Source organism: Homo sapiens, chromosome 14, assembly GCF_000001405.40.
Source record: "Homo sapiens chromosome 14, GRCh38.p14 Primary Assembly".
NCBI lineage: Eukaryota > Metazoa > Chordata > Mammalia > Primates > Hominidae > Homo > Homo sapiens.
Window position 1 is genome coordinate 89,343,258 of NC_000014.9, and position 22,005 is coordinate 89,365,262.

The following is a 22,005-nucleotide window of genomic DNA, read 5'->3' on the forward strand; positions in this document are numbered from 1 at the left end:
ATTTTCTAATCTTCTAATTGTCTAAAAGGATGAGTTCCCTAAACACCTCAGTACCTTCCCCACCTCCTCCCAATGCAATTCCCCTATCTACTATTCCCAGCCTCACTATGACAGCCAAAGATTATTTACCTGGTGAACAATGACTGATAACTTTGTTAATTTGAATATACAGTGACCACTCTGTACAATTTCTATACCCTTAGCAGTATTACTCTATGAAGACATTTAAATTAAAAAAAAAAAAGGACATCAATAGGGCAGCAGGCAGGATAATAGAACTTGCTGAGTCAGCACTAAAATCTGCCATTTTCATTAAGAACCTCAATATCAGAAAGGCCAAAATCTTTGGAGAGGCCATTAATGTGTGTGGTTTTTTTTTTTTTTCTTTTTTGCGGCTCGTTAAATTCCTCTGAGGAAGCAAACAGAAACAGCTAAAAGGAGAAGCTTAAATGTCTGGAATTTATTCCAAAAAAAAAAAAAAGATGAGAGTAAAAGAAACTTTATTTTGGTTGGTTTGTTTGTTTTGAGACAGTCTCACTCTGTTGCCCAGGGTGGAGTGCAATGGTGCAATCTCGGCTCACTGCAACCTCCACCTCCCAGGTTCAAGCAATTCTCCTGCCTTAGCCTCCCGAGTAGCTGATTGCAGGTGCCTGCCACCACACCCAGCTAATTTTTGTATTTTTTGGTAGAGATGGGGTTTCACCACGTTGGCCAGGCTGGTCTTGAACTCCTGACCTCAAGTGATCCACCCACCTTGGCCTCCCAAAGTGCTGGGATTACAGGCGTGAGCCACCGCATCGAGCCGAGAAACTTTCTTGAAATGTTCTAACTCTGCAAATTTTATAGTCATCCAAAAAATAAATCTTTAGACCTAGATCAGCAAATGAGTCTTGTGGATTTTTCTAACTTTGTACATGTTAAGCCACAATACTTTACATGAAATATAGACTATGATGTCATTATTTTTACATTGAAAATTTTAAAGCAAAAAAAGGGAAAGCTCATTAAAGAAAAAAAAAAAAAAACCATCTCACTCAGTTTCTGACCATCTAACACCCAATCATGGTCAATCCATCATGGAGGCCAAAGGTACGTAGGATGCTGGGATTTCTTTGGAATTACCAAGGAAACACAAAACAACGCTGGCTCTGAAAACCAATCATCCAGGAAACTCTCCATAAACCATACTGTTTGATTAAATGCAAAACCTGTTCTCCAACCATGGTGAGAGAGGATTAAAATGTTTTTCTGGAAACTGACTTTGGATTGGTGCCTATAGCAGAGAAGGTATTACATAAGACCCATATATATGTCACTCTCTAAAAACAATCTGTTGTCATAAACATTATTATGGGGAGAGCTGCTGTTTATAGGGTGTTAATGTAGTGTTACGAAGTTTAAATACCCCCACTATAAGTACCAAAATCACAAAGTCAAGGTCACCCATTGAGGAACTGTCTTTTCATTTAACTGTCAGACATTGAGAAAGGTTAGAAAAATAGAAATTTCCTAAAAAGTTGGTGGGAATGTGGACTAGAACCGAGTGTAAAATCAGAAGGCAATTTGGCAATGTCTACTGGAAACATTAAAATACGCATATTCTTTAATGAGAAATGACGTATCTAGGAAGGAGGGGCACAGGCAACATAAAGATTAGAACAGCTCAGTGGACTTTTCCGAAGAGGTACGGGCAAGCAACCCAAACACACCACCCCTCCTTCCACTTTCCAGATCTAGATTCCGAAGGCCCCACGCCAGAGTCTCCTTGGCAAAGGTGTAGATTCCCCAAGCAAGCTGGCGTGGCTCGGTGTGCATGAGTAGCCCGAGCTCAGCCACGGGTACTCTACAAAGCACAGTGGAGTGCCATTTCACAAAACTAACGTTCCAAGAACTGTAGTATCCAAACTACAAAGAGACCCCTCGTGTGGCTCAGCAGATCTTCCAGAGAATGAGGCAAAAGCAAGAGCCCTTCACAATCAGCTCTTCACTAAAGTAGGTCAGGCAACTCTCAGTGCTGCAGTGATTTTACTTTTCATTCTACCAAAAACAATCGGGATATCTAAAATTGATCAATGAGTCTGCATTTTGGAGACTGCTTTAAAAAAAAAAAAAAGGAAAGAGAAGTTACAAAGATAGCACAGAAAGCTCCTGCATACCCCTCACTTAGTTTTCCCTGATGTTAACACCATATATTACTAATAAGGCACTTGTCACAACACTGGTATACTACTATTTTTTTATTTCAATAGTTTTTGGGGTACAGATGGTTTTGGGTTACATGGATAAATTCTTTAGTGGTGATTTCGGAGATTTTAGTGCACTTGTCACCCCATAGATAGTCTTTTATCCTTAATCCCCCTCCCAACCTTCCCCCTACTCCCCTCCGAGTCCCCAAAGTCCATTATATCATTCTCATGCCTTTCCTTCCTCACAGTTTAGCACCCACTTATAAGTGAGAACATACGTTTTCCATTGGTTTTCCATTCCTGAGTTACTTCACTTAGAATAACGGCCTCCAGGCCGGGCACAGTGGCTCACGCCTGTAATCCCACTTAGGGAGACCGAGGTGGTGGATCACAAGGTCAGGAGTTCAAGACCAGCCTGGCCAAGATGGTGAAACCCCGTCTCTACTAAAAACCACAAAAATTAGCAGGGCTTCATGGTAGGTGCCTGTAATCCCAGCTACTCGGGAGGCTGAAGCAGGAGAATCACTTGAACCTGAGCGGCAGAGATCGCAGTGAGCCGAGATCGCGGCACTGCACTCCAGCCTGGCGACAGAGTGAGACCCTGTCTCAAAAAATAAAAGAAAAGAATAATGGCCTCCAGCTGCATTTAAATTGCTGCAAAAGACATTATTTTGTTCCTTTTTATGGCTGAGTAGTATTCCATGGTGTATATATACCACATTTTCCTTATCTACTCATAGGTTGATGGGCATTTAGGTTGGTTCCATATCTTTGCAGCAGCAAATTGTGCTGCTATAAACATGCAGCATACTACTATTACTATTAACTAAACTGCACAGTTAATTCATATTTTGCACATTTTCCCCTAATGTCCTTTTTCTGTTCCAGGATCCCATCCAGGACATCATAGGACACATTTGCTCATCATGTCTTCTTAGTCTCCTCTGGTCTGTAATAGATTCTAAGACTTTCCCTGTTTCTGATGACCTTGGGGCTTTGAGGAGTGAGGATCAAGTTATTTTTGTAGAATGTCCCTGCTGAAGGACAAAATCATTGTTTGATGTTTTTCCCATGACTAGACAGGGGTTATGAGTTTGGGGAGAAAGACCACAAAGCTGAAGTGCCAAATTTATGATGTCCTACGAGAGGTACCCGGTATCAACATCACATCACTGAGGATGGTACTTTCATCACCTGTGGCATACTGTTCACCAGGTTTGTCCACTCCAAACTCCCTTTTCCAACCTTTTCCATGCTCTCATCTTTAGAAGTAGGTCATTAAGTGCAGCCATTCCAGGAGTGGAGAGTTCCGTCCCACCTCTTTCAGTGGAGAAAGAGCTACATCAAGCATTTGGAACCCTCTGAATGGGAATTGTGTCTCTTCTCTCATTTATTTGTTTGTTTATTTATTCAATCATTTATTTCTATCAGTCTGGACTCATAGGTATTTATTTTATATTTCCAGTTATAATCCAACACTATGTTATTTATTTTGCTGCTCATCACCGTCCCAGCTTTGGCTACTAGGAGCAACTTCAGGCGAATCCCTTTGACACCCCTGCCCCCCACCCCACCATTTTGTTCTTTAAATATTTCCTTACTTTCTGCTTCTCCATATATTCATCAGCAAAATGTCTCCCTTAAGAAAAGGGTTGCTATGGGGTGATTTATGCCTCCCCAAAATTCCTACATTGAAGATCTAGCCCCCAGTACATCTGAACATGACCTTATTTGGGAACAGGGCCATTGAAAATGTAATTAGTTAAATAGGATGAATTATTACGGGAGAAAGATGGGCCTCTAAGCCAATACGACCAGTGTGTCCTTACAAGAAGGGAAAATTTGGACATAGACACCACATGGAGAAAACGAATGCCAAGTGAAGGTGAAGGCAGAAATCAGAGTGATGTTTCGACAGGCCAAGGAAGGCCAAAAGCATTCCAGCAAAATGCCAGTAAACCACCAGAAGCTAGGAGAGAGGGGTGGAACAGACCCTCCCTCACAGCCCACAGAAGGAACCAACCCTGCCGACACATTGGTCTCGGACTTCCAGCCTCCAGAACCTTGAGACAGTAAGTTTCTGTTGTTTAAGTCACTTGGTTTGAAGTACTCCACGCTGAGCTCTGCACTTCGATTAAAAACAATTCACAAATTTGGTATCAACAAAGCAGGTGTGGAAGAACATCCTAACATACATTCAAAAGGGCACTTTAGAAAACAGAGGCATGGGCCGGGCGCGGTGGCTCACGCCTGTAATCCCAGCACTTTGGGAGGCCGAGGCGGGCGGATCATGAGTTCAAGAGATTGAGACCAGCCTGGCCAACAAGGTAAAACCCCATCTCTACGAAAAATACAAAAATTAGCTGGGTGTGGTGGCGCCTGCCTGTAGTCCCAGCTACTCTCAGGCGGCTGAGGCAGAAGAATCCCTTGAACCCAGGAGGCGGAGGTTGCAGTGAGCCAAGATTGCACCGCTGCACTCCAGCCTGGAGAGAGAGCAAGACTCCGTCTCAAAAAAAAGCAAAAAAGGAAAACAGAGGCACGGGTCTACACATCTCAATATTTAGCATGGTATTTGGATGTGAGCAAGGTCTGGGCAGTGCTCTCAAATGTCTCGCTTTTCCCGCAGCATTTCCAGCCACCTGCAGCTCAGTTCAGAGTGACATTTGCCAAGCACACCTGCAAGTCCTAGCAATAACCGCCCATCTAGTATAATCACCATCTTCTTCAGGATGCTAAGTACCAGCCCCATGAAAGCCAAGCACTTCCCAGGTACCCCTCACAGCGATCCAGCAAGGGGCTGACGGGTGATTCCCCGCATCACAGTGGACCCAGCCAGATCACGTCAATTCGGCATTTTGGGGTCCCTGTTTAATGACTCGGTGTTTCACTTCCATCTTCTCTAGGTCATGTCAACAAGTGGCCTGATGGCTTAGAATTGAACCAAATGCCACATCACTGTTAAGACACAGAAATATTGTACAATTACCCAGTGTTCAGTGGCTTCAGTGCAATTTCACACACTAGAGGATCCTGAAGCAAACTCTCAGCTTTCAGATGAAGGGATGACAGTCCCCAGGAAAGAGAAAGTGACTTGTTCTCATGGACTTAAGGCATGGAAGAGGCAGACTAGAATCTCATCTGTCATCTCCCTCCACCGCCAGTGACCTCTGTGGAGGTGAAATCTAAGCACCGCATGGGCAGAAGCAGAAACTGGTTTTTTTTCCCCCCTCAGTCAACTGGGGATAAAGGCTGGAGGTGACGGAGTGGGGTCTGAAATATTCCTTCGGAAATGATTTTCATTACAAAAGCTCTGGTTCATCTGCATTTTTATGTCTATATTAAAAATCAAATGAAGTCATTAAGCTAAGGCCAGCTCAGAATGCCTCTCGCCTGAATATGCATTCCTGTTCCAACCCCCAGAGCTCCTCTATAATCCTTCGAATTATTAAATAATTACTGTGTTTCCCTCGGGGTCACATTTGGCAACAAAATACTGGTCTAAAGGAACCAATGACATGACCCAGTGAGTAACACTCATGTTCTTAACTTCCTAGAAGCAAAGGGAGATGAAATACTTCTGAGGTGCAGAGTGGAAAACCCAGAGAAGGGTATTCCATGCAGCTTGGAGAGTCGGGGGGTGGGGGTAGAATGACAAAGAAACATGAGAATCTGGGAAATATTTCAATAATTAGTGTCACGTCCTCCTTCACCAACCTTGTACATCGGCAATTCTCCACTCCAATCCTGGTTCTCTTCCATTTGGGGAGTGGCTATGGCCACAAGGAGAAAACCAAGCATATGGCTCTGTCCTTCTGGACATGTCTACTATGTTGGCTGGGCTGCTTTGGAAAATCCCACTTTCTCTCCTACAGCTATATGACCTCAAGTTGTCATTTCGAATAAAGTATGCTTCCACTGATTTTTATGAACACAGACAAAAGCTGCTACAACCTTCCCCCCCACACACCAAACCTTTCAAATCAACTGTAGTTGCTATGTAAGGTTATTTGTTTCTAAGGCAACAGTGTATATCTAAGTACTAATGGCCTGTCCTTTTGCCAGGCAACAAACAGCCTTGTGATGCAACTGCACCTGTCTCGGCTACGCGTTACTATGGAGACGCTCCAGTTGCTATGGGTACCATCACGCTAATCGCCTAGCAAAGGCAGACATACAGCAGTCTTCTCAGAGAGCCCAGCTGTTCCTCCCTGTCTCTTGCTGAAGACTGATTGTCTAGGGCCTGTGATGGAATGCTTCTCAACTGAGATGCAGAAGAACTTCATTAATGCTATTTCAGAAGATCACTTTGTGCTCCCTCCTGCAGAACAAACAGCAGACTAGGAAAAGAATCTGCAAAGAAGTGGACTGTAAAATTCCTGAAGTCTATGACATCATGCCATCCCTAATTAACCTCAACTTGCAGTCCAAGGATAATTCCTCTTAACTAGGTGGTTACGATAGAAACATTTCTATACATTTTTAAATATTTTTTTGTAGAACTGAGGAATGCACTTCAAATTCAAGTACTATGTATTCATAAAAATTGATCTTAAAAATTTGGTTCTGATTATTTGGCTCTCTTTTGGAATCTAACATTAAGACACTTTTTAAAAAAGTGACAGGCTACTTACCCTCCCTTCCAATGATATATTTGTAAAAATGGTACCCATGACCTTACTGTCTCAAACAAATGGGCATGTGAGGAGGATAAAATGTCTCTATTGTTTCTACTGTTCTCCTTGAAGAAGCAAAGACCAAGTAACCACAACAAAATGGTCACCTGGGAGCACCGTCTACATGGAGACTGCGAAAGACAACAGTGGGGACAACTGAGTGAGCCTCCACTGAATGTCTGCAGAGACCGGCCAGATGAGGGGATGATGGAGTTGCCTGCTTGACTCGTTCCTGTACTTTTATCCCAACAAAACATGACACACACCGAGATGTGAAAGCTGTCGACTTTTCTTTGTAAATGTTTCTACCCAGGAAGACATGATTTCACCCACCATGAAGCCTTCTGGAAGCACATTCCTCTGACGCTGCAGCAGCGGTAAGGTTTGTAGGAAATACAACAGTGGATATGCCTCCTAATAATACTTAATTTCTTTCTCATTTACCTGCAGTTATTTTTAAAATCTCGTACGGCCTATTAAATTAATTTCCGCGCAGGTCTCTGCCAAAATAATGCCATTTCAGTAGACCAAAAAAAAGAAGTCTGAATTGCTTACCTTTGATATGCCTGAGGACAGGTGGGAGGTGTATTGAACACGTGTGGGTGTGGGTGATAAGGTGTCTTTTTCAAAGCCTGAATTAGATTTTGTCTATACTCTGGGTCTATGCACCACAACGACCCTTTCCCAATACTCTGCAAAGAAAATTAAAATACAAAGGCATTAATAGAGAATTATTAAGTACTTTGCAATAAGTAGATGTATAGCTATTATCACTTCTTTATTTTTAAAAGCTTCTCATTTGTTGACTGTTTGCCAGCCTTAAATATTATACTGACAGTAGAACTCCATAAAATGCACTTCAATCTTACTTGTATTATGTTTGATAGGCAAAATGAACATATTATTACCAGGTTATGGTGATACAACAATATTACAATTTTCATACCCAAACTACCAATAAAATGAGAATCTCATTGTTTTTCAGCGTCAACATTGAAGAACACGTGCATTCTCTTCTAAAAATGAATTTAACTGTGTCAGATTTCTAAAGTTTGGGGAAAAAAAAAAGAGGGCCGAGACACCCCCAAAAGTCCATCTCTGCTCCAGAAATTTAGTTATGTTTTAAAACCATATGACATCGGGATCATTTTATAAAAACAGAAAAGTAATCCCCTTGTTTCTTTCCAGCTTACTCACAAAAGAATGACATTTACTCTTGGAATAGAATTCTGTAATTACCTTCCCTAAGCAACAAAAGAACTCAGGCAGCAATGGTAAAGCCCAACTCAGAATCCACTATTTATTTTTTGGATTCCTCAGTTCCCAGCAATCGACTCCAGCCATTAAGAGTTGAATCTTTAGAAGTCAAACTTTAAAATGCAAATTTTCTAAAACCGTTCTGTGGAGAGAGGGAGGCTTCCTGTGAGGCCCACTTCCTGTGAAGCGTTTGGTCTATGGACAGCCTATTTTTAAAAATGTAAGTCCTTCCTTTGAGGCCCCCCGGAACTGGCAGCAGGCCGACGGGCAATCGTTCCTCTGGCCGCACACTTTCAAGTGACCGAATGTACCCAAACTGTTTGATAAGGTCATTTGTAAATATTTACTGATTTGCAGAGAAAAGAAGTTAAATTACATAAACCCGTGCCCACCTCCTGCTTTCAGCCAACAGTAAGATTGATGTTGTCCTCCAACATTTAGAAAGCAAACAAGAAGCTGTTTAACTAACATGGGGGAAGGGGACAATCCAAGAAAATCCCACTGAAGGAGCTGTAAAAACAAGTTACTCCTAAAATCTTTTTAAAAGTTTAAAAAAATCTGTGTTTCATCATCAGTTCACCCGAGTAGTTTCCTTACAAACATTATTCACAGAGCCCATTAAAATACTTTATTATCAACAACATCAGCAAGCCGTGCAACTGGAATTAACTCTTTCTGGTGCAATGAGAATAGGAGAATTGCTCAAAACCACAGCCAGGGGCTGGAACCTCTGACCACTCTAGTCACCCACCCCCACGTGCAGGCCTGACCCCAGACACAGGTCAGAGTCTGGCTGGACACTCTATGCTTAAACATCAATGTTCTCAGTTTAACCAACCGGATGTTTAAAGACCTGAAAGATTTCAACTTTGGAAAATTCAACATTCCTACGTGTTTTTTCCTTTCACGCACACATTCTCAAACCCAGAATAGTTCAGGGGGAGCAGTGAGACTTTGCAAGTAAATCAGGCGGGCCACTCAATAATCTGCCCTGGAAGCTTCATCCCTTCCTTTGGAAAAGAGCTGTGCAGAAGAAAGCCAAAAGCTAAGGAGTGGAGAGGTTTGGGGGGAAAGACAGGAGACAGGTAACTACCAAATTTGGAAAACATAAAACAAACCACCAAATCCTGTCAACAGTAGGGGTCTGGCCTGATTCCATCAAAGGCTCCCGGTGGAGCCCTGGGCCAGTGGGACCTGCCTTTCTGATCCCTTGCACCCAAGGCTCCAAACCAGCAATAGCTACACTGAGGGCCATGGCTGACATGTGACCCAAACATTTCTGCAATGATATTGTCTCAATTCTGGAAACCCAATGGCTTTTGTTCTCATCATGGTGGCTTTCAGGGTGGGACCATTTAATCTTAACGCTACAAAAATAATATGACAAAGAAATGAAGGACAACCGGTTGGCCTTCTCAGGGAAATAACCGTAAGCCAAGAACGTGGTTTCTCCTAATCCTAACCTAAGTGTTTGTTTACTGTACCCTTGTATACCCATATTAATGTATGCTACCATTTAAAAGCTAAGCAGATTGAACCCAGGAGCCAGAAGCTGCAGCGAGCGGAGATCGCACCATTTGCACTCCAGCTGGGGCAAGAACAGTGAAACGCCATCTCAAAACAAATAAATACATAAAAATAAAAACAAAAGCTAAGCAGAATAAACCCCCAGGACTGTGCAGGACATTCACAAGGTAATTGATCCAGATGCAGAGAGGCAGGCTGAAGAATAGTAAGAACAGGTGATCTGGAGCCACACAGACGTTTCCTGAGTGGCCCTGCACAAATCACAGCGCCATGGGAAGTCTTGCTTCCTCACTGGTAAAACAGTGACCCACTTAGAGATAGCTGGGAGGCTCAGAGATGGCATAATATAAAACACCTTCAGTAGCGGCCCTACCTACAGGTACTCAATAAATGGCAGACAGCATCATGAAAATCTCCTTTTGGACACAAGAAAGACAATGAAACTGGCTTACAATGTCTTTCATTGAACCATATCTGATTGATTTTCATCTCCAACAGCAGCGGTGGGAAGGGCCTCCAGCAAACAGATGGGACGAGTGAAGATAAAATGATCATCTATTTGAATGCAGTGGTGGTCCTGGCTCAACAAATTCACTGGGAAGAGCTTTTTGACATTCTCAGCTCCCCCTCTATTTTCATCACTCCCTGCATCTGCTTTCTATGAACCCCACACCCCACACTCACTACTGGGACTTCTCCCTTGCTAGGGAAGCTACTATCACTGACTCATGACTACCTGGCTGCTGAAAGTCTTTTGCCCAGGTCTCTGCACTGTCAACATCAAGCTGAGGTTTAATTCCATACTTGGTCAGTTCATTGTGGCCATCTCCCAAAAAAAATTTTTTTTTTGAGACAGTCTCATTCTGTCACCCAGGATGGAGTGCAGTGATGTGATATCGGCTCACTGCAACCTCACCCTCCCAGGTTCAAGTGATTCTCGTGCCTCAGCCTACCAAGTAGTTGGTATTACAGGCGTGCATCACCATGCCTGGCTAACTTTTTTTTTTTAAGGAAAGAGATGGGGTTTCACCATGTTGGCCAGGCTGGTCTTGAACTCCTGCATTTTCAAGCATTTTCTTGGGTTTCATGTAACAGTTTGGAGTAGTAAAATGGTTTACTTGAAAACTTTAAAAATGGAAATATGCAAAGGATAGAATGCTCAAGTTTCTTAGGCCAGGAAAAATTACATTTAATGTTTCTAATAGGAGAGAGAAGGCTATAACTTGATTATAGTTGTGTAGTAAGTTTGAGAGTTGGAGCTTTCTTAGAAAAATATCTGCATCTCATCTGAAGACAAGAATATGGAATGCTTTTTTTGTTTGGTTTTTTTTGTTTGTTTTTTCTTAGACAGAGTCTCGCTCTTGTTGCCCAGGCTGGAGCGCAGTGGCACAATCTTGGCTCATTGCAATCTCCGCCTCCCAGGTTCAAGCCTCTCCTGCCTCAGCCTCCTGAGTAGCTGGGATTACAGGCACCCGCCACCACGCCCGGCTAATTTCTGTACTTTTAGGAGAGACAGGGTTTCTCCATGTTGGCCAGGCTGGTCTCAAACTCCTAACCTGAAGTGATCCGCCCACCTTGGCCTCCCCAAAGTGCTGGGATTACAGGCGTGAGCCACTGCGCCCGGCCGTGGAGTGCTTTTTATTAAAAAAAAAAAAAAAAAAGAAAAGAAATAGGCCAGGTGCGGTGGCTCATGCCTGTAATCCCAGCACTTTGGGAGGCCGAGGTGGGTGGATCACCTGAGGTCAGGAGTTCGAAACCAGCCTGACTAACATGGTGAAACCCCATCTCTACTAAAAATACCATAATTAGCTGGGTTTTGTGGTGGGTGCCTGTAATCCCAGCTACTTAAGAGGCTGAAGCAGGATAATCTCTTGAACCCAGGAGGCAGAGGTTGCAGTGAGCTGAGATCGTGCCATTGCACTCCAGCCTGGGTGACAGAGTGAGACTCCGTCTCAAAAAATAAATAAATAAATAAATAAATAACTGTGAGGGCCACACACCATTAAGTGTCGGGGAATTCAAAATAATAAGCGAAGAATATTCATTTATAGGAAAGTATGCGTGTGTATTCACACTCACATTTTTGTGTGTATATATACACTAACACCCCCAGAAAAAAAACTGAGAAAAATTACATGGAAAAATGAGTAAAAAAAATTATGGATGAGCCCAAGTTTCTTTTAAAATTAAAAACCACCTGGGGGAATAAAAATCAACTCTCTATTAAAAATAAAAAATCAATGCACAAAAAGAAAAGCAAACAAGAGCCCATATTGTAGGAAGAAATGGTTAGCAAAAATGTAAAAAAAAAAAAAAAAAGTAATTTTTTTTTTTCTTTTTGTGGAAATGGAGTCTCACTCTGTCGTGCCCAGGCTGGAATGCAGTGGCGCAATCTCAGCTCACTGCAACCTCCGCCTCCCGGGTTCAAGCGATTCTCCCGCCTCAGTCTCCCGAGAGGCTGGGATTACAGGTGCCCGCCACTATGCCCGACTATTTTCTTTTTTTTTTGTATTTTTAGTAGAGACGGGGTTTCGCCATATTGGCCAGGCTGGTCTCGAACTCCTGACCTCAGGTGATCCGTCTGCCTTGGCCTCCCAAAGTGCTGGAAATACAGGCATGAGCCACTACGCCCAGCCTATACTTTAAACATTGTTATTCAAACCGTGGGCCAGATACATTCATGGGTCATGAAATGAACGGAATGGATCATAAGCAGCACTGTTTTAATGGAACAGAATGTAACAAACTAGAACCAAATAGAATGGACTACCATATATCTGCAGTAACATATAGTGAAATTTGTATTTGCATAGTTGTGTATATACATGTTTACTGATCACCAAGTAACATACACTTCTTACTGGGAAGCCGGGTCAACAAAGTTTGGTATCCACTGATCTAGGACAGTAGTGTCTGGTTGTGTTTTTTCCCCCTTCTCACCACTTGTGAGGAAGAAAGCCCCCTATTAGCAACAGTGGGGGACTTACACGTGGCTCTGGGGCAGTGCCTAAAGAACGGGGATAAGGAGGCAGGCCCCATGTCAAAGTGGAGCAGGCACCACCTCTGCCCAGGCCTGTTCTGCCCTGGCCAGGGAGGGATAGCCTGTAACAATTTCAGTTTGTGCAGAACATTCAGGTATGAAAAGAAAAAAAAAGAAAAAAGAAAAAAGGACCAAAAAAAAAAAAGTATGATTTTTAGACTTTAAAATTAAGACAGGCCAGGCATGGTGGCTCACACCTGTAATCCCAGCACTTTGGGAGGCCGAGGTGGACAGATCACCTGAGGTCAGGAGTTCAAGACCAGCCTGGCCAACATGATAAAACCCCATCTCTACAAAAATACAAAAATTAGCCAGGCATGATGGAGGGTGCCTGTAATCCCAGCTACTTGGGAGGCTGAGGCGGGAGAATCACTTGAACCCTGGAGGCGGAGGTTGCAGTGAGCCAAAATCGTGCCATTGCACTCCAGCCTGGGCGGCAGAGCGAGACTCGATCTCAAAAAAATATATAATAATAATAATTAAATTAAATTAAATTAAAACAACACAGAAAGTTTACATTTTATAACAACCTTATTATGCAGATGATATTTACACTTCAGAAATATTTAAGACAATTGTAACCCTGTAAAGCTGATGAGATATTAAAACAAGACAAAAACTGAAAACGAAATGGAGTGGGGAGCTGGGTGTGTGTTGGTGATCTTGAAACAATAGCTTTTGATGTTTCTGACACACCATTTTGGAGGGTGCTTCTAACACTACCCACCTTCATTCATTCCTTCATTCATACGCTCATGCATTCATTCATTCATTCCTGTGGTGCCTACTACATGCCAGGCACCATGAAGGGTCCACTTGTGAATACAAAACAATACAAAAAGGAGACCGACCTCCTGAAGCTTGGATTATAGATGGGAAAAAACACAGTAAGTAAAGAAATAAATAAGCAAGATTATGACAGACTGTAATACCTGCTAGGAAGGAAACAGAATAAGCCATGAGTTAGAAGAAAGGAAGTTGCTGCTGTGTGAGAAATAAATGGGCTGGAAGTGGCAAGAGCACCTGCAGAGAACTGATATGACGGTCCAGGACCAAGATGACCATGGGTGTTGGTTCAGGTGGGCAGCAATGAGACGGAGAAAGGAGGACAGCTCCCGAATGTACTCTGAGGCCAGTTAGCGGCTCACACCTGTAATCCCAGCACTTTAGGAGGCCAAGGCAGAAGGACAGCATGAGTCCGGGAGTCTGAGACCAGCCTGGGCAATACAGTGAGACCCCATGTCTACAAAAAATACAAATAAAAATTAGCTAGACTGCTGCTTGAGCCCAGGAGTTGAGGTTACAGTGAGCTATGATTGTGCCACTGCACCCCAACCTGGGCAACAGAGCAAGACCCTGTCTCTTTCTTAAAAAAAGGAGATAGAGCAGGGCGTGGTGGCTCACGCCTGTAATCCCAACACTTCAGGAGGCTGAAGCGGGTGGATCATCTGAGGTCAGGAGTTCAAGACCAGCCTGGCCAACATGGTGAGACACCATCTCAACTAAAAATACAAAAAATTAGCCGGGCACGGTGGCATGCACCTGTAATCCCAGCTACTTGGGAGCCTGAGGCAAGAGAATCGCTTCAACCTGGGAGGCGAAGGTTGCGGTGAGCCGAGATCGTGCCACTGCACTCCAGCCTGGGAAACAAGAGTGAAACTCCATCTCAAAAAAAAAAAAGAGAGAGAGAGAGAGCTAGAAACCTGATAAACAGCAGTTGACACTGGCAATGCAGATCAAGTAGGAGAAGTAATTGATATTCAGTAATGGTGTGGGATCATTTGATTTTCCATATGAAAAAATATGTATATAAACATATACTAACTGGGTTTGTGTACATATACTTTGTGATGTTCTCATGATGATGCAATTGCCTAACGACGTATTTCTCAAAACTTATTCTCGCTATTATGCAACGCGCGACTGTATCTGGAGGAATGGACTGCATAAGCCACCTCTCTCCCCTCTGCTATACCCTCATTGACCCCAACCTTTCTAGCAGAAGCTCATAAATGTCATGGTAGGCCTGAGATTGTCTGGCTTTAGAGGTTTAACATCAACTGGTTCCTCTGTAATAGGGGTTAGTAAACTTTTCTTAAACAACTTCTCTTTCTGTTACCAGGTCCTCTAATGCATGGCCAGGTCCAACGGCTTCTCAAAGTACATTCTATAGTCTCTGTAGGTCACATGGTCTCTGTTGCAACAACCCAACTCTGCCATCATAGCACAAAAGCAACCATCAATGTAAACAGATAAACGTGGCTGGGCTTCAGTAAGACCTTATTTGCAAAAACATTATCCATAGTTCACTGCCCACTGCCCTACAGCTCCAATACTGGTACCCAGGACTGAGACTCACAACTCCCAGTTTTAGGAAACTTAAAAACCAGAGAAGGAGTTTTCAGGGTTAAGGGATTTGGGCTGGGTCCTGTGGGATGGGTGGGGTGTGGATGATGGCCTAAGTCAAGTGCTCCAAGGTCGAAAAGGAAGACCCCCATTGGGGGATACAGACACGGACTAGAGTAAGTTACCCCATCCGTAATAAGAACACATACCTGGTTGGGCTGCACCTACCATCACTGCCTTGAGTAATCATGGCATACATGCAGCTCACTCCCCACCCCGGGTCTTAGTTTCCTCATCTATAAATTAGGTGCTGAGATGAAATCATCCCAAAGGCCCATCATTCTATGCTTTGGGAACGTGTGATTACAGATTAATTAGAATACATGGGTCCTCATGTCTCCAACTCCTTCACAGTTTCAACACAGCCAGCTTTCTGTTCTAGGCCAGTACCACCCATGTGTGGGGTCAGTGAGAAACACATTATTGTGCTTTCAAAGGGGAGCCCTTACTTGGCTGACATGGACATTGGAGTCAGACAGACCCGAGTCTGAGTCTTGTTTCAATTTCTCAGCTGTGTGGACTTGGGCAAAATACATAACTGCTCTGAGCTTCAAATTTTTCATCCATAAAATGGGAGTGAATTAATAATACCTGCTTCACAAGATTGTTGTGAGGATTAAAGGAGATAATATTGTGCTTGCTTGGCACATGGTAACAGTTCAATAAATATCAGCTCTCGGGCCAGGTGCAGTGGTTCACACCTATAATCCCAGCACTTTGGAAGGCAGAGGATCACCTGAGGAGTTTGAGACCAGCCTAGTCAACATGGTGAAACCTGTCTCTGCTAAAAATACAAAAAATTAGCTGGGCATGGTGACAGGTGCCTATAATCCCAGCTACTTGGGAGGCTGAGGCAGGAGAATCGCTTGAACCCAGGAGGTGGAGGTTGCAGTGAGCCGAGATCACGCCACTGCACTCCAGCCTGGGCAACAGAGCGAGACTCCATCTCAAAATAAAATTAAAAAAAAAAAAAATCAGCTCTTGTTATTATGATGGCAACAAAATATTAAATAGCCAGCTTTCCTTGACACTGAGCTCCAAACCATTCAGTGCCTGCCTGATGGAATAGGTACTTGTCAAATTGTGAAATCATGCAGATTTCATCTAAAAAAATTGCACATGACTATTTGTTTTCCATAGTCTGATGTTAATTTCCTTGGTCCAAAAGAAGCGTTTTGTCTCAGATGCACTAAGATAGAGGTGGAAATGGAAGGATCGAAATAGAACAAAGCAAAGAGCCAGCCACTGGAGTAGTGCCAAGAAGGACATGGGACTTTGAGAAAGCTACTTGCTTTGAGTCATGTCTTCGTGCACACTGAGAGATGCTCCGGCCGGTATGGCAGTCCAGGGCTTCCTAGAGAGGTCCTGCCCCAAAGGGCTTACCACCTGCCACCTCCTTCCTTAAGGAGGAGAGGCCCTGACCCCGATACTGCAAGGGAGCAGGACAGGGCAACAGCCTGACTTAGAGAATAAAGCTGGAGTGGGCAGAGGTGGATAAGAGAAGGGTCTCCCTGGCTGGGGCAGCTGGGCCTCTGAGGCCACTGTTCTCTCACGGATCCTTGAGCTCATGGTGGGAACTGGAGCGGATATGGTCCACTTCCTCATCACCAAAAGATACTTGTAACTTTATAGAGAGGTGGCCTAGAGTTGGTACTCCTCATCAAGCTGTCATTCTGTCCAGCATATGCCACGGTCTCCCAGGATCTGGCAGGCTTGAAGGCTTCTCCTGGAAACGGCCTAGGTTTATTTCACTATGAGTGCCCAGTTAATTCCCCGGGGCCCCTGCACACTGGCCTTGCGTTTCTGCCCCCACTGCACAAAATGCCCTCCCCTCCCGCCAAAACTGCCTCCTCCTCTGGACCTGGCTCTGGCTCAACTCCTCAGGGCCCAGCTGCCCCTAAAGGAGGAAGGAGAGAGGGAAAGAGGGAGGGATGAGAGAGGAAGAGAGAGGGATGGAGAGAGAGAGGGGAAGAAAGAGAAGGAAAGAAAGAGGGAGAAAGAGAAAGGGAGGGAGGGAGGGAGGGAGAAAGGGAAAGGGAGGGAGGGAGGCAGGAAGACAGGGAGAGAGGTAAAAAGAGAGGGAGGAAGGGAGGAGGGAAAGGATGAGAGGGAGAGGGAGGGAAGGAGAAAGAGGGGAAGGAAAGAGGAAGGGAGGGAAAAACGGTGAGAGAGAGAAGGAAAAAAAGGGACACAGAGGGAGTGACGGAAGGAGGTGAGGAGAGAGAGAGAGAGAAGAAGAAAGGGAGAGAGGGAGGGAAGGAGGGAAGGAGGGAAGGAAGGAAGGCTGGGGCAAGAGCTGATACCCTCACAGCCGCAGGTTCCCCCATGTTTCCACAAAACTCATCCTCAGCTACCACCACCTCCAGCACTACCTCCACCACCACCACCTCCAGCACCACCTCCACCACCACCTCCACCACTACCACCTCCACCACCACCTCCACCACCACCACCTCCAGCACCACCTCCACCACCACCTCCACCACTACCACCTCCAGCACCACCTCCACCACCACCTCCACCACCACCTCCACCACCACCTCCACCACCACCACCTCCACCACCACCACCTCCAGCACCACCTCCACCACCACCACCTCCACCACCACCACCTCCAGCACCACCTCCACCACTACCACCTCCAGCACCACCTCCACCACCACCTCCACCACCACCTCCACCACCACCTCCACCACCACCACCTCCAGCACTACCTCCAGCACCACCTCCACCACCACCACCTCCAGCACCACCACCACCACCACCTCCACCACTACCACCTCCAGCACCACCTCCACCACCACCACCTCCAGCACTACCTCCAGCACCACCTCCACCACCACCACCTCCAGCACCACCACCACCACCTCCACCACCACCACCTCCACCACCACCACCTCCAGCACCACCTCCACCACCACCACCACCTCCACCACCACCACCTCCAGCACCACCTCCACCACCACCACCTCCAGCACCACCTCCACCACCACCACCTCCAGCACCACCTCCACCACCACCTCCAGCACCACCTCCACCACCACCACCTCCAGCACCACCTCCACCACCACCACCTCCACCACCACCTCCTACCACTACCACCTCCAGCACCACCTCCACCACCACCACCTCCAGCACCACCTCCACCACCACCTCCACCACTACCACCTCCACCACCACCTCCACCACCACCACCTCCAGCACCACCTCCACCACCACCTCCACCACCACCTCCACCACTACCACCTCCAGCACTACCTCCACCACCACCACCTCCACCACCACCTCCACCACCACCTCCACCACCACCACCTCCAGCACCACCTCCACCACCACCTCCACCACCACCTCCACCACTACCACCTCCAGCACTACCTCCACCACCACCACCTCCACCACCACCTCCACCACCACCTCCACCACCACCACCTCCAGCACCACCACCTCCACCACCACCACCTCCACCACCACCTCCACCACCACCTCCACCACTACCACCTCCAGCACTACCTCCACCACCACCACCTCCAGCACCACCTCCACCACCACCTCCACCACTACCACCTCCAGCACCACCACCTCCAGCACCACCTCCACCACTACCACCTCCAGCACCACCTCCACCACCACCTCCACCACTACCACCTCCAGCACCACCTCCACCACCACCTCCACCACTACCACCTCCAGCACCACCACCTCCACCACCACCTCCACCACTACCACCTCCAGCACCACCTCCACCACTACCACCTCCAGCACCACCTCCACCACCACCTCCACCACTACCACCTCCAGCACCACCTCCACCACCACCACCTCCAGCACCACCTCCACCACCACCTCCACCACTACCACCTCCAGCACCACCACCTCCAGCACCACCTCCACCACCACCACCTCCAGCACCACCACCACCTCCTCCTCCTCCACCACCACCACCTCCACCACCACCACCACCACCTCCAGCACCACCTCTACCACCACCACCTCCAGCACCACCACCACCTCCTCCTCCTCCTCCACCACCACCTCCACCACCACCACCTCCAGCACCACCACCACCTCCTCCTCCTCCACCACCACCACCACCACCTCCAGCACCAGCTCCACCACCTCCTCCTCCACCACCACCACCACCACCACCACCATCTCCACCACCACCACCACCATCTCTACGACCACCACCACCACCATCTCCACCACCACCTCCACCACCACCACCACCACCATCTCTACGACCACCACCACCACCACCATCTCTACGACCACCACCACCTCCACCACCATCTCCACCACCACCACCACCATCTCCACCACCACCTCCACCACCATCTCCACCACCACCACCACCACCACCACCACCACCACCATCTCCACCACCACCTCCACCACCATCTCCACCACCACCACCACCACCACCACCACCACCACCACCACCACCATCTCCACCACCACCTCCACCACCACCACCACCAGGCCAGAATGCAGACTTCAGTGGGTCACAAACCCATTCAAACTTCCGTGGGCCTAACGAAAGGTGGATCGTTGGGCCTGATTTTGAAGCAGGTCCCTGAACACCGCTTGTAAAGAGCTAACAGCACAGGAGTTGGGCAGGGCCCTGTGACACAAAGGCAGGGTCCGTTTCCTTAAGGTGGGGAACCTCTAGAGGAACACAAACAAGAAGTGATTACAAAGGATTACACAAGCTGGCCAATGGGCTGCCAGACAACAGAGGACAAAAGAGATGAGCCCTGGGGGAGGAAGGGGTTAAAACTGCAGGCGTGCACACACATGTGCACCAGCTCCTCCTGGGGCCTCACATCCCTGCTCAGGAAGCCCCTCCAGCTCCCACCTGGGCTATCCCCACAGTAACACCCCCACATCCCCAGCCTCTTAGAGGCTGGGTTCTTGTCACCATACCTCCTCTGGCCTTCCCACCAAACCCCTGCATGGGGTCCAAGTTCCCAGGGTCATGTGTCTCTTTCAAGATCATGAGAGACAAATACTACAAACTAACCCATGACTATGTGCCCATGAGGGGCCACAGGCAATGCCAGGACTTTCCCAGAGAACATTCTGGAAAGAATCCCCACATGTAGCTCCCAACAAGGGGATCAAGTGGTATGGTTCTTGTCTACACTGCTAACTTGCTGTGTTACTGGATGGACAAACCACTTGTCCTCTTAGCTTCACAATCTCTTCATCTGTATATTGGCAAAAATACCATCTTCTCCAAAAGTCATTTTGGGCTTAAATGGGATGATGACGTATACAATATACCTAACACCATACTCAGCATGGGAAAGGCAGTTAATCCACTTAATTCTCCTCTCTGTCAAGGGACGTCACAGTAGAAGTTAGGTGGTACTAGCAGAAGAACAAACAGAACAGAGCCAAGTTATTCACCATGAACTTACAGCCTCTGCTTCAAAATATGTAAGGAAGGAAGGCCAGGTGCAGTGGCTCATGCCTGGTCACAGGACTTTTGGGAGGCTGAGATGGGAGGACTGCTTGAGCCTAGGAGGTCAAGGCTGCAGTGAGCTATGATCGAGCCACTGTACTCCAGCCTGGGTAACTGAGCAAGACCCTGTCTGTAAAATATATATATATATATATATATATATATATATATATATATAATATATATATATATTCTTCCATATCAAAATGTTTAGCAAGTGACTGATTCCTGAAGGCCCTTCATTTTCTAAAATTCTATCATTTACAGTCTAACGACATTGGGGAAATGTTTACACTTCAAAAATTTAAAAAGAAAACCAGCCAAGTACATAAAAGAGGGAAGAAGAGAGGCAAAAAGAACAAAACTGATTACAAAGAATTTTTTTCTAGATACCTTATTGTCTATTCCCATAACAAGATCGACAATTACTCCAGCAGTTTAGATTAAAAAAGAAAAAAAAAAGATTGCTGTAATAACTGAGAGAAAGTTTCAGTTTTATGTCCAACCTTGCTCTCTAATAGTTTCTTTTTGTTTGTTTTTTTGTTTTGTTTTTGTTTTTGTTTTTGTTTTTGTTTTTTTTCAGAAGGAAAGATGGAAAAGAGAAGTTATCATTTCTTTCTCAAGATCCTGGCCCCATGAGCCTCAGTGTAGCCCTAGTTCCTGGGATCAGCACCAACAGGCAGGGAGGAGAGGCTCTGGCGCCCTGCAGACAGCACCAGGTTCTTGGCATCAGGAGCTGGATACAGAGTCCCTGATAATCCCAGCCACAGAATATTTCAAACTCACCGACATGTCCTCTAAATATCAGATATGAAAAGGCTTCCACTCTTGCACCTGTCTTGCTATTATTTTACAGATGTGTTCTAAAAGCTATAAAGACGGAAATCACTATTAGTGTGTCACTTATGTGATATTCAGACACCTGAGCTCTGTGATGATTTTAATGCCCCACAGGTCTTTCAGAAATCCACCTCATATACCTCAGAACGCCCCTCCATCTGCAAGGGAACGCATGTGGAACAGGTGGAGAAGGAATTCTTTTAGGCCCATGGGTAGAATTGTAAGGACTCTTGTAAATGCTTCTTCTGTAGTAGAGAAGCTGGACGGTATGTGTGTGTGCTTATGCGTGTTTGAATGGACGCAGGAAAAATCAATAATCTGCTTGCATCAACACCTAAATAAAACCAAAATAATCCCATGATTTGCCTAAAACCAAATTAATCTCTAGGAAAAGCCTGCTGTGACAGAGTTGTGTGGGGGCGGGAATTACAAAAGAAACGCAGAATTTCCCCGAGCTTCCGCTTTGCAGGAATCTCTGTTCCGTTACTCACTATTTTGAGAGAGCCCTGCTTCTTCCTCCTTCTCCCCACCACACGTCAATGTCATTTTCACAGGGGGGAGGCTACAGGAAGCACACATCTGCAGTGTGTCACCTCCCGAGGCTGACAGATC

General features: G+C 46.0%; 1 protein-coding gene and 1 long non-coding RNA gene across 3 annotated transcripts in view, besides 3 other annotated features; one reads left to right on the forward strand and one right to left on the reverse strand.

The window, feature by feature from the left end:
• Positions 1-22,005, reverse strand: part of FOXN3 (forkhead box N3) — a 462,989-nt gene that overhangs the window by 187,081 nt on the left and 253,903 nt on the right. For both annotated transcript variants that reach the window (NM_001085471.2, NM_005197.4), the window contains exon 3: positions 7,415-7,551. In NM_001085471.2, the coding sequence (NP_001078940.1) occupies positions 7,415-7,551 (137 nt within the window). The remainder of the gene's footprint in view (positions 1-7,414; positions 7,552-22,005) is intronic.
• Positions 7,030-21,751, forward strand: FOXN3-AS3 (FOXN3 antisense RNA 3). The gene is made up of 2 exons (NR_188029.1): positions 7,030-7,236; positions 21,137-21,751. It is a non-coding gene; the product is annotated as an FOXN3 antisense RNA 3 (long non-coding RNA).
• Positions 8,159-8,208: a silencer, noted in NCBI's record as "silent region_5998". NCBI's record gives its function as "represses an Ori minimal core promoter by ATAC-STARR-seq in GM12878 lymphoblastoid cells {active_cell/tissue: GM12878}" and the evidence as "EXISTENCE:reporter gene assay evidence [ECO:0000049][PMID:35858748]".
• Positions 9,358-10,073: an enhancer, noted in NCBI's record as "H3K27ac-H3K4me1 hESC enhancer chr14:89818959-89819674 (GRCh37/hg19 assembly coordinates)". NCBI's record gives its function as "activates a minimal SCP1, AML or CMV promoter by ChIP-STARR-seq in primed H9 embryonic stem cells {active_cell/tissue: H9 hESC(primed)}" and the evidence as "EXISTENCE:reporter gene assay evidence [ECO:0000049][PMID:30033119]".
• Positions 10,415-10,514: an enhancer, noted in NCBI's record as "active region_8859". NCBI's record gives its function as "activates an Ori minimal core promoter by ATAC-STARR-seq in GM12878 lymphoblastoid cells {active_cell/tissue: GM12878}" and the evidence as "EXISTENCE:reporter gene assay evidence [ECO:0000049][PMID:35858748]".